Raw genomic sequence first — 13,505 nt, forward strand, 5'->3', positions numbered from 1 at the left:
AATTTTTAAGATGTCTTCTTCAGTGGCCCCTCTACATCCCACAAATCTGCACTCACTCCCTGTACTTCACCTAACAAGACCCCTGCCCTTCTCCCCAGCACTTCTACTCTACTGCTTGGCTCACTCTCATTGGTTCCATTGAATATCTCTACTCATTTCCTTATCATTATCCACCTATGGAATCTTACCCATCCTTCAAGATTCACATGAAGTACCATTTTATTCCCATAAAACCTCATCATCTTCTCCTCACATTTTGAAGTGATCTTTCAGACATTTGTTTTCTTTAAGAATTATTCACATTTTTCTTATGTGACATTTTACACTCATATGTTTTTCCTCTATACACACAGAAAACTGCTAGACTAGACTATAAGCTCCAGGAAGGCACAGTTTATGGTTTTGTTTAGGGTTCCACACAATAGTACTAACAGGCAGTCAGTAAAGATGTAAAACATGACTGCTGCCACCTGGCCTCTCTCTGTTTTAACTCTCTGGGGAACATTTTTTGTTATCTGATTTTTCCTTATTGATTGTTCTGTTGAAGGACTGCATCCCACCACCAGAATATAGACATCATTTGAATAGAGATCTTGTCTGTCTTTTTCATTGCTGTGTCCCACTACCTAGAACAACCTAGGTGCTAAATCAAAATGTGGTCAGTGAATGAATGAAATTATAAACCTGTAGTTTCAGAAAACAATAGCTTATTCATACACTAAAATAACTTTATTTTGTGGTTAATAATAACTTCGATAAATAAGATTCTCTAATTATCTGTGAGCTAGTGTTCTTATATTTAGAGTTTACTATATAATTATACAGGAAATAGTATGCAAATTCAAAGCCATTAATTCTATAAATATAAAACTCAATTTATCTGTAGGAAAGTATAGCAGTCTTCAAGATTATTTTACAATGTGGCATTTTAAAGGTTTTATACTGATTTTGAAGTTCAGGAGATTGGACAACTCACTAATTATCTTTTAATGCTTCCTATTGCCTGATAAATTTTAAGAGGTTAATTGCTAATATGTTCCATTACTATTCTTAAGGATAAGACATGATGGACAGAAATTTCCATGCAATTATTCCATTCTGGTGAGATTAGAAGGTGCTAAGCAGATAAAGAAATCATCTTATCAAGAAGGAAAAGTACCATTTACTGAAGAAGGTCTGCTAAACTTTAATCATGACTGAAAATATAAAAAGACACTTTAAATGGATAAATGCAGCTATTGCACACAATTGACATGGCTGTAGAGATGACAGAGTGAAGAGGTATTTGATCAGTCATTTGTTATAAAAGCTCAGGGAAAACAAAAATTTCTACTTAAAAATTTCTCTTTATTGCTTTCTCATTTTCTTTGACTTGCTAAATTCACAGTTAAATCACATCCATATGTTCTCAGTTTTAACTGCTACCATATTTCTAACATCACCCTTTTCTCGGCTAGAAAAATGACTCCATGTCACTTCCAATGCCTCCTTTTATGTTCGTGTTTGACAGAGAGTGCGCACATTTAGGGTCTGTGCAGTGGGGAAAGCTTAAAATGGCAAGGCACGTTTCCCAGTTACTTTCCATTGGCAGATGGTAAAAGACGGAGCTATCAAACTCTAATCTCAGACAGACCTGAGCTTGATTTCTTACTGAGACAACACTAATTGTGTTCACTTAAACAATTTATTTAGACTCTGGTCTATAAATTAGGGGGTAACAATAGTACCAGTTTCATATGGCTGTGGTAGGGAGGATAGAAGACAACGCATAGAGGTGTAACACATGTGCTACGAAGTGTGCCAAGCATTCAGAATGTATTATCCCACTTACTGTTCACACCAGCCCTAGAAGGTCAGTACCATTACTACCACACAACTCGGAGGAAGATACTGAGGCACCGACTGAGACACAGTCAAATCTTGGTATACAAGGAGGATTTATATGTATTACTCGACTAAAAATATACTAATAATCAATGAGCATTACAATGACCCTGGAATTAGGTTGAACACATTACATGGGTTTCTAAATTAATCTTCACCTCATCCTTGTCGCTCCCATTTTGCAAATCAGAAAATTGAGATTTAAAGGGATTAAGCTATATATCTGAAGTAGTAGAGCTAGAAAGCACAAAAATCCAATCTACAAACCCAGGAGGTCTGATTTCAAGGACTGTAAAAGTAACCTGTAGTACTGTATACTAATTCTGGCCCCTTACTTTATATCCAAATGACTAAATTAGTAAAAGGGGCTAGATTTGACAGAGAAGTAGGTAGTGGAATAAGAAAGCAAAGAGCATCCAGAGTGACTTTAACTCAACTGAGTACACATATATTAATCTTCAAATAACACCGCGCCATGCATTTAAGAAACACAAACTAGTATTACATGTCGTCGACCAGGATGCCTTCATTTGGTAACCTGGATGATTATTTTATTTACAACCAAGAAAGAGAGTACTTCATATAGGGGGTGTGGCAGGAAACCCCACATTAAGCTGAGGCAACTACTACATACTTGGTGTAAGGGCAAACAAGAAATAAACCTGACAAGCAGAAAAGGACAAGAGAAGTCACCTGTCTCAATCTCGGCACTGGATGAGGGAGGGAAAACAAATCTCATCTAAAAATTTAAAGCTAGTGCTAGCTTTACACTGTTACACTGTAAGTGTAACAGAACTTACAGTGTATGTTCTGAGTATACACTCTAAGTTTAAAGTGGTTTCAAATTGATAGTTTCTGACAGAAGCAACTCATCTACTGTCTACAAGAACTCACTGCAATTTGAGCCTATAATAATTGTATACTGCCATTTACTGTAAAATGCATTCTGATTTGAGAGTTGTTAAAATATGAAAAAAACACATAACAGAATGGATGAAAGATGATATGAGATGCACTGCCTGCCCTAAAAGAGCTTAGAAGCATCTGAGGTCATGTGATCGACAAGATAAAACACAAACAACACAAGTTATTATATAAAAGTGTAAAATTAGTTTTGAGATGTGTAGGAAAATGAGAATTCAAAATTGGTAAACTTCTGGGAAGAACGGTGAAGTGGGAAGTCTTCATGGGAAGGTGAGACTTGATCTGGGCCTTGATACCTGGATTGGGTTGCAACGGGGGAGGGAAAGAGGGGATACCTATACCATGTAAGAGGTGGAGTCTGATTTAATGACAATACTTTTAGATTGGAGAAAGTGAAGACACCATTCCAGCTGAAACAAAGAGCTTGTATTGGGTAGCAATGGCAGATAAATTTAGAAAATCCTACTGAGAAGACGTAATAAAAGGCCCTTAAGGAAATGCCAAGCTAAGGAATTAGGAATGGAAATGATATTCATTCAATCATTCAGTTAGCTACCTGACCAATCAGCAGCCAACCACCAAACATTAAGCAGCTGTATATGCCAGATGTTGTGCTAAGAATTCAGTATAAAATGGTGGATAACACAGCATTTTGTCCTCTAAGTTACATTATTTTAGTTGAGCAGACAAAAAATTGGGACAATACCACAGTAAGATCTATTAATTTAGCTGCAATTTATTGAGCAGCTATTATTTTTCCAGGTACTATATAGGGAATTGATGTTATATATTACATTTCAAAACCAAAGCATGTCTATTTTAGAGATGAGAAATCTGAGGATCAGAGGCACAGAGATTTTTCTGCACTTCTTAGTGTCTCAGTATCACTTACAATAGAGCCTTGATTACTCAAATTATGTGATGTCACAATTATAAAATATTCAAAATCCTGGAAAAAGACTTTGAAACTTTTTGAAAATAACCAAGAAACTTGTTGTGTTTTGATATTAAGACAAGTACATTGAATGATGAAGTTTTAAGTCAATTAATATCCTCAACTCTACGTAATCTCTGAGGTAGAGTTTGCGCAGTTATTTTGGAAACTTAGCTGAGGCATGGTAAAGCATTGATGTAACACATTATCTGCAGCAAATCATTAGTATGTACCACCAGTGTCATTAATTTACAGCCACATAATTATAGATGGGGAGACAAATTTTACATTAATTTAGTGAAACTGTGGTGTGGATTCAAATTCCTCCCAGTACCATTCAAGGCAGAAATGTTCTTTCCCTCACTGCTGATGGCACAAGGACTAGCAGCTCTCAGATGCATCCCTCTCTCTGGGGCTGTCATCCAATGAAAAGAGCGGCCTTACCCAAGATTATGTCATTTTCCCAGGAGCAGCCCACACCCGGGACTAGTCCATGAGGGCTAAGAAGACCTGTTACCCTGGTCCCAATTCAGGATGGCTCTAAAGGGTCATCTTCTCTGCAGGATAACTGAATTTACTTCCAATTCTCTGTGGTAGGTAGAATGATGGTCACCTAAAGATATTCATGTCCTAACCTCTTGAATCTGTGAATATATGAAGTTAAATGGAAAAGGGGAGTTAAAGTTGCACATAGAATTAGGGCTGCTAATCAGCTGACTTCAAGATAGGGATATCATCCTAGATTATCTGTATAAACCCAATGTAATCTTAAAAGTGAGTTCTTAAAAGTGAAAGGGAATCAGAAGAGGAGATAAAATGATAAAACCTGAGAGAGACTCAACATGTCATTCCTGGATTTGAAGATGGAGGAAAGGCAGAGGAACCAAGGTGGGAAATCTCTAGAAGCTGGAAAATGCAAAGAAAGGGATTCTCCCCTAGTTTTCAGAAGGAAACTGATCCTGGAAGACATCTTGATTTCACTTCAGTGAGACTCATGTTGGACTTCTAAACTACAGGTAAGGTTAGAAATGAGTTTTGTTTTAAGCTACAAAGTTTGTGGTAATCTGTTATGGCAGCAACAGAAAATTAAGATATTTTATGACTAATTTTGCTTCCTTCTTTCTCTTAGGAGTGTTGATTCTGAATGTATTTCCTAATCAACTTAGTGCAGTAAATCTCTGTCTCAAAGTCTTGTTCATGTGGTACATAACGTATAACAGAAATACATATTAGGCTCATATTTTTCTACTTAAATTATAGAGCTCGTGTTAACCTAATAATTGATAACACTGCTCAGACAAAGGCACAGTTTAGTTGCAAATTTGCAGTCTGATCCCTCAGGCTATGAGATATCATAGTCAAGAATGTGACTGGCATATACTGCAAGTCAGGTGAATCAGAGGCTGCTATGGTTTGAATGTTTGTGTCTTCTTCAAAATTCACATTGAAGCTCAAGCCCCAATGTGATAGTATTAAGAGGAGTGGCTTAAGGAGATGATTAAGTCATGAGGGTGGAACCTTCATGAATGGGATTGGTGACTTATAAATGGGTTGGGAGGCACTGGCCAGGCCCCTTGTGCCCTTCTGTCTCTTCTGCCATGTGCCGGCATTCAAGGCACCATCTTGGAAGCAGAGACTGGTTCCTCATCAGACACCAAACCTGCTGACGCTTTGACCTTGGACTTCCCAGCCTCCAGGACTGTAAGAAATAAATTTCTTATATTCATATATTGGCTGGTCTAAGATATTTTGTTATAAGAGCACAGAAAGACTAAGACATTGACCTAGGTCAGCTATGTCAAGGAGGCACAGGCCAGCACCATAGGCCATGTCAGCTAGGGGTCATTTTGGGGAAAATCTCTAAGGCATGTCTTAGGTCCCAGTCCAGAGACTGTAAACAGAGGATTAAGAACCAAAGGACCTGGTCAGTATATTTCCTGTGTGAAGATACTAAAACTGGTGTATAAGAGGCAATTAGTAAATGTTAGCTCCCTATTTTTCCCCTCATGCAGATATCAGAGAGACTTCTCTACTGCTTGGGATGCTTGTTCAGAGTATAATTTCCATAGCAGCAAGAAAAGGAATTTTTGTTTGTGGATACTTTAAAGTAAATAAAGCTATTATAGAAGGCAAAAGAAAAAAATGTCAAACGATTTCTCTTTTCATTTAAAAACAAAAACAGAATAACAAGCCCCAGAAGTATGTTTGAATGTAACTACCCAAGAAATGTACTCAGCATTACACCTGCCAATGCAATGTATGGTGTGCAGTGGAAGTGGGGGATAAAAGCTCCCATTAGTGTCACTGAGTCTGCACCCTGGGACCTGTGAGATGTAGGAAATGCATTAGGCACAAAATGTGTTCTTTTGAGCATTTTTCTTGAAATGTCCTGAGGCTTTTTCACATTAGTCAGTGTACAAAGCACACAACCTTCTGCAGTATCTTGAACAGAATCATCCCAATACCAAATGGACTATGGTGATGACCTAATGAACTTAATCCATGTTGTGAACTGATCTTATGTTCAAATTAACCCAGCCCCTGAGAGTGGGAAAGTGGCTGTGACATTTGCTCAAATAGGTTCAGAGAAAGTGATTTCTGATGCACATTGGGCTTTCCTTCTCTGTGCTCCCTAATTACAACATTTTTAACTCTTTGTTGTGTATTGTATTTGTGATGTATATATCCATTACCTAATAGACTTAAAGCACCTTACCATGAGGGTCTGAGTCTGATGATTTTTCAACAAAGCAATTTCCTGTGTCATCTTGCACAGCAAATGCCTATTGAGTGAACAGGAAGAGCAATTTGGGTTGAAAATGGTCTAAGTAAAAAGCACAATTCTGATTGTGGTCTATTAATGATGCTAGGTATATTTGATGAAGCTGAGATGATGTGATCACCTGTTCCCATGGGGAACTTCCTACAGGTCACCATCACCTCCTGTATCACCATTGCCTAGTGGTCCTGAAAGTGTACCTCACAGCTTTTTATGAGTGAGGGAGGGGGAACGATAGCTGTTGGCTCAGGTTCACATCTGTTCTAGCCCAGCAACCTTTCAGGATCTCTGACTTCAGTGTTTACCCACAGAGATGTTGTAGGCATCTGATCCACCACTGGTGGAAATGTTGTAAGCCTGGCTGCCTGCAATTGATTTTTCCTAGTGCCTACCCAAACCAAGCTATAATGCTTTGGGAATTTTAAAAATAATTTGACTTTAGTATGATATAAAAGTGATCACTAGAATAAAGGAGTCAACGAAAATGTTAGAGTTATGGTGTACAATAAAATTTGACTTTATAGTCATTAATATCTGTATTAGTCGCTCAAGGTACTGTAACAAAACACTATAGATTACATGGTTTAAACAACATAAATTTATTTTCTCACAGTTCTGGAGGCTGGAAAGTCCAAGATCAATATTCTAGCAGGGTTCAGCTCTTCTTTCACGGGCACTTTTCTTTGCTTGAAGACTGCTTCCTTCCTGCTATATTCTCCCATGGCTGAAAGACAGTGAGCTCCGAAGCAACTCTTTTTAGAAGGCCTCTAATCCTGTGGAATAAGGGTGTCACTCTCATGACTCATTTAACCTTAATTACTTTCACAGAAGCCCTATCTCTAGCTACAGCAACAATGAGGGTTGCAGTTTCAGCATATGCATTTTGAAGGGACATAACATTCATTTCATAACAATATCCATTAGGTTAATTTGGAAATATTGATTTATTTATACATAAAAAGAATGTTGAATTGTGAAATATTTTATAATTTACAGAATTTCAGGAAGATTAGTAGTTATGACTAGTTGGCTATTGCTACAGATAGTTAAAAAATCATTTCACATTTTTACTGTGCTTTTCAGTTTACAACACTCTTCCTTATATATTGTTGAGTTTCATTTTTTTATTTTCCTGTCTTAAGAATATGATATGTTTTGTTTTTCACTCTACACTATGTAACACAGAGACTTGCCCAATACAGACACAAAGGAAATATATACTATAATAAACTAACATCTTTCAATAATAATCAACACAATTAAGAATTTTAATTTTCTCCATCTATCAAGACTTTGGCACTGCAATAGTTTTAGAAATAATAGGAGAACAGAAAGCCCATCTTAATATGTTCTCCTAGTCAATACATGTTGAAAAGGCATTGGTGTTGAATTCATAGCAATATGATATTGAATCCTATGTTTATTACTAATTAGATATTTGACCTTGAGCAAGTTGCACGACCTCTTTGAGCTTAAGTTTCCATTACTCTAACTTAAGAATCATACTATTTGCCTCACATATGTTGAAGTAAGATAATACAGGTCAAATGTCTGACACTTTGCCAGCTGTGGGCACTCAATCAATTAGTTATAAGTCTCTTAATGAATTAAGAAGAAAATGTTAGTAAGAAAGTCTGCTTACATGGTATATAAGAGAAAAAATAAGATTCTGCCCAACTAGTTTGGCTTTGATATATAATAGGCCAAAATATACAAATATATTTCAAATTGACAGAATTCCTGTGCCAAAGATTTGATTGAAGATATTTATTTAAAAAATGAGTTATTCAGAAAAGCAGAGATAGAGTCACTGTGGCACACTTGAGCAGTGCCTACCTGAACCTTGTTCTAGAAAGAAGGTGGCCAGGCTTAGAAGATGCAGGAATTTTCCTCTGAAAGTTTGATGTCACCAAATATCTAAATCATAAAACTGGTCATCCCATCCCAGTTCCACATGTACAAGGCAACATTTGGATAATAATTTTGCTGTGCTTATAGTTTGCTTATATGGGGAGAATGTGTTTAGAGGATGCAAGTACTTGGCCCTCTTGGCCAATAACCTTTCAATTTTTTAAAATCAATTGAATTTCTGAATAATACATTAATGTCATGCCAACTCAGCATGAGTCAGCATTTCTTGCTTCATCCAATAGCTCTCAGGCACACAAGATCAAAGTTCTGTAAGGGAAAGAAACTAGAACAAGCAAGGTCAACTCCAGCTAATTTTGAAACATAATGCCCTAGTCTCAAGAGTATAACTCATTCTACCTGACACTTTATGGCCATGAGTAGAGGATAAAAGATATTTATTTATAAATCAAGTTCTATAAAATGAAGTAGAGTTTAGAAGATATTCTACAAGTGTTATAATACTACTAAAAGAAGTGAAAAGAAGAGAAAAAAAGAATTTAAGAGAATATGTATTTTGGTTGAGCCTGCTACATATTTACCACACATATTCAACATTTCAAATTTTTGAAAATGAAGGCAGCATACTATAACAGTTTATATAAAAATGAAAGTGTCAAAGAAAACATGACTATATTTCTCAGATGTTGCATGAACTCTTGTACTCTCTAACACCTGTCATACCACACTTTCATTATTCACAAACTTAACTGTGAATATTCACTTTTTGAAGACTGTGCCGAATACACATTCCACTAGGATTTTGGTTACCACTTTTCCATAAGATTTAGAATCATGACTTAGTACCAGTTAGGGTTATTTGCCACAAAAACCAGAAATGAACTCTGACTTGAGCAAGAGGGATTTGCTTGTGAGAAAGGATATTGGTGTGTGTTTGTAGGGGTGTGTGTGTGTGTGTGTGTGTGTGTGATCGCATATGTGGGGTCTCATAGAATTAATATGAAGTAACATACCAGGTTTGAATACAGGAAGAAGCCAATAGAGAAACAGAAGGAAACATACAAGCATATAACAGGAAACAGGAAACAGGAAGCACAATAACCGTCTCTAACCATTAACAGCCTGGGCAGGAATCCCCACTGTCTATAAGAATGATGAAATACCTTCAACCTCCCCCTCCCACCACCTAACTTGGTTAAGATGAAAATTCCCAGGAGGTAGGGATCATTTGGTCAAATAGTGGAAATGTGCAGGGAAAGAAAAGATCTGTTTTATTTGTGCTTGTGCTTCTGCAGTGAAAAGCAGACACTTAGAGTTACTCTTCCCAAAGGAAATCAGGGTAATATTAGAAAGAACCATGCACTCTATCCAGACAAAATGGCACAACTGGCAACTATATTATCTGTAGTACAAGGATTCACAGTAATTTGTTGCTCTTCTTATAGACATATGTTGTTAAAGGAGTAAGCAACATGATTACTATCATTTTGTTTAAGCTGGTCAAAAGATTAAAATGTTTCTATAAATATACAACTGAAGTGTAAAATGCCACTACTCTTCTAGGCACAATATTGGGAAAGAAATTTCTTAGAGATAATATTGATGATCATGCTGTGTAACTCCTTGGAATATAGTAGGAGGAAAAAGCTTGAGATTGCAAGCGTATGTGTCGTATTCTGCCACTCATACAGCCATCCTAAGAGCAAAAGATAGACTTCTTGAATCCACCCTTGACAAGATGGATGAAGTTAGTTTATTCATTAAAAATGCTTCTATTGGATATAGCACACTGAGAAAAAATGAGGCAGTGTATTTATTCCAAGTCTTCATAAGGCTAGTTTTCTAGTCAGCTATGGTGGTTTATTCTTCCCATCTACAAAATATGGCATGATAAACTTGATTTCCAAGTGCCTTGCCTTTGCTATATTGATTGTTTGAAGTTAAGTGAAGAAAAAATATTTCATCCTTAGACTAAAAGCTCATGGACAAAAGCTTTGGGGTTTGCTTCAATGATAGCTAAGAGGCACAAAAGAGATGATAGGTTGATAAAAGGGAAAATGCATCATTGTTCTTTGACTATGAGTGCATATCCTTAACACCGCAAAGAATAGTCATAGAAGAGAGCAATCACACTTTTCTATAAAGCAGCCCTTTGTAAATATAATTCACTGGTGCAATATCTAAGTACTCGGTAGGTTCTGACAGTTTCATCCATCACAATACAGGCCTCACCATGTCACTGCCTCAGACTGATAAATGCAAAATGACAGTCATTCATCCGGTGGAATAGAAGAAGCCAGGGAAAATACAACATGAAGTCACTTATGCCATTTGATATAGCTTTGCAATGTGTATCTTTTCTCTCCCCTATCTTTTGTTTTGTTTGTGTACATGCCAGCATGATTATAGTCTTTGCAAAAATATATACAAGACAACACATTTCCCTAAAATAAAAAAGTATGAATTTAGAAAGATTATAGCTACATTAAAATGAATTCAGAATCTACTATGACATAAATAGAATTAGTTAAAGATTAAGGTTAGAAAGTAAATGTCACTTCTTAACTTTTTCTCTTTCTTGCTATTGAGGAGCACAATCTAAAATTTGTAGGCAGATAGAGTATAAAAGTAATGTACAATTATGGCACTTATACTATTTTTTTCTTTTATACAACAATTCTACAAAAATAATGACTATATGTACACATTAAAGGAAACTGTAGATTTACTGAAAAATAGGTATTAATAATATGGATATCAACAGCTGTGTACCTTTAATTTAAAAATTAAAAAAATAAAAATAACAGTAAACTGAAAGTCTCCATTCTCTCATCTTCCTTTTCCTATGTTTATTTTTAAACAAATTATACTGCATATATCGATATCTATTAGGGTCATGTGTTGACTTAGCAATAAATTTAATTATTGGTTTAGATATCTTACAGATGTATGGAATCTCTAATATACACATTTTTGTTTAATATGTTACTGAGAAAGAAGCTCAAGTGATAGAAATAACACAGGACAGGAAGTAAGACAGTTCTCGTCTGAAGTTCTTCTCTGACAGCCCACAAACTAGTTAATATGTAAGTTTGAAAATATAATTTCTGTATTTTATTGCAAATTTCAAATAGATATTTATTTCCAGCTTTATTGAGGTATAATTGACAAATAAAATTATATAAATTTCAGTTGTACAACATGAAGTTTTAATATGTATATCATCATGAAATGATTACAGAAATCAAAATAATAAATATATTCTTCAGCTCACATAGTTATAATTTCCTATTTGTGGTGAGAACATGTAAGAACTATTATATTAGCAAATTTCAAGAATGTAATACAATATTATTAACTATAGTCTTATTGATCTGGTAGATCAAGAACTTTGCACCTTTTAAGCCCCAGCTCCTGGTAATCACCATTTTAATGTCAACTTTTGTGAGTTTAACTTCTTAAGATGCCACATGTAAATGAGGTCATGAAGTTGAAGGAAATAAAAATATTTCATGCCAAAATATCCTTCTTCAGCATATTTTGAGATGGCTATTCAGAGGGCTTGCAAATGGAATTAGCCCTGAAATAAGTCTTTTGTGGGGCATACATTTTTTAGGAAGAAGTCCTCCCCTATGAAAGTAAATTAAAAAATAGGGAAACTGACTATTACACCAGATGCACAGATATCAATGTATGGACACAGGAAGCATGAAAAACAAGAAAATATGACACCTCCAAAGGAATACAATAATTTTCCAGCAATAAATCTTAATCACAAAGAAATTTTCAAAATTCAAGATAAAGAATTCAAAATACTGATTTAAAAAAAGCTCTGTCAGGCATGGTGGCTCATTCCTGTAATCTCAGCACTTTGGGAGTCCGAGGTGGGCAGATCAACTGAGGTCAGGAGCTTGAGACCAGCTGGGCCAACATGGTGAAACCCCGATTCTACTAATAATACAAAAAATAGCTGGGCGTTTGAGATTTTTTTAGCCATTATTTCTTTAAAAAAGATTTCTGCTCCTTTCTTGGAATTTCCAAATACATGCATTGGTTCATTTGATGGTATCCCACAAACCACATAGGGTTTTATTTCCACACTCTTCGATTTTTTTTTTTCATTTGAGTGGATTATTTCAAGTAACCTGTCTTTGAGTTCATAGATTTTTTTCTTTTGCTTGATTGGGTAAAGAGCTAGTATTGAGATGTTTGAAAGCTTCCTTTGAAGCTCTCTGCTCCATTTTGGATTCTATTCATTGTAGTCGTCAGATCCAGAATTACTGTTCGTATCTTTTTTATTTGTATGTATTAGTTGAATGTCTCATTTGTTCGTGTATTGTTTTGGTGATAACACTGAGTTGTCTGTGTTCTCTTGGAGCTTGCTAAGCTTCCTTAAAGCCATTATTTTGAATTATTTGTCAGGTAATTTGTAGATGTATATTTCTTTGGGGTCAGTTATTAAAACATTATTGCATTTCTTTGGTGGTGTCATGTGAAATTTTGTTGTTGTTGTTGTTTCTTGAAATCTTGAGTTGCCTTCTTTGCATTTCAAGAAACAATCACTTCATTCAGTTTTTACTGACTGGCTTTGAGAGTGAAAAATCTTCATCAGTCATCCCAGTTAGGCATTGTGGGGGTCTCTCAGATCTTTTCTGTGGATGCCCCACTCCATTTTTCTTTATCCCTTTTGGGGAGAAAGTATTGGTATCATATGCCTTATCTCCATCCCACAAAGCCATTTTTTTTTTTTTTTTTCCCCTGGGGAAGTGCCCTGAAGAGTTCAAAGTCAGATGCTTTTCCCGAGTTAAGTAGAGTTTGATCTGGGTGTCTGTGTATTGTGTATGATTTTTGTAGACTCACATGTACTTTCTTCAGGGGAGCACAGAAGGTGGTGCTTATGAAAAGGAGGGGCACGTAGAGTGCTAGGGACACATGTGGACCACCTAGGGGTCTGCAGTTAACCTGCGTTATGAGGTTGGTGGTCTGGACTCTTGGTGGAGTTTGCGAAGTGGTTTGTAAAAATCACAACACTTTATTGAGTTCTGTGCTCCATTGCTCTGAGTGCCTATTCAGTTTTTCTTCTCCTAGCTGCCTGCAAACTATTGAGTAATCCCA

The 13,505-nt window shown here is 36.0% G+C and overlaps 2 annotated features.

Moving 5' to 3' along the window:
• Positions 8,577-8,721: an enhancer, noted in NCBI's record as "145 bp enhancer 61 fragment used in the MPRA reporter construct; PK_construct_3919". NCBI's record gives its function as "activates an SV40 promoter by MPRA in HepG2 cells {active_cell/tissue: HepG2}" and the evidence as "EXISTENCE:reporter gene assay evidence [ECO:0000049][PMID:23512712]".
• Positions 8,644-8,654: a transcriptional cis regulatory region, noted in NCBI's record as "NFE2L2 motif; enhancer activity is reduced when this motif is scrambled". NCBI's record gives its function as "necessary for full MPRA enhancer 61 activity {active_cell/tissue: HepG2}" and the evidence as "EXISTENCE:site-directed mutagenesis evidence [ECO:0005528][PMID:23512712]".

Source organism: Homo sapiens, chromosome 8, assembly GCF_000001405.40.
Source record: "Homo sapiens chromosome 8, GRCh38.p14 Primary Assembly".
NCBI lineage: Eukaryota > Metazoa > Chordata > Mammalia > Primates > Hominidae > Homo > Homo sapiens.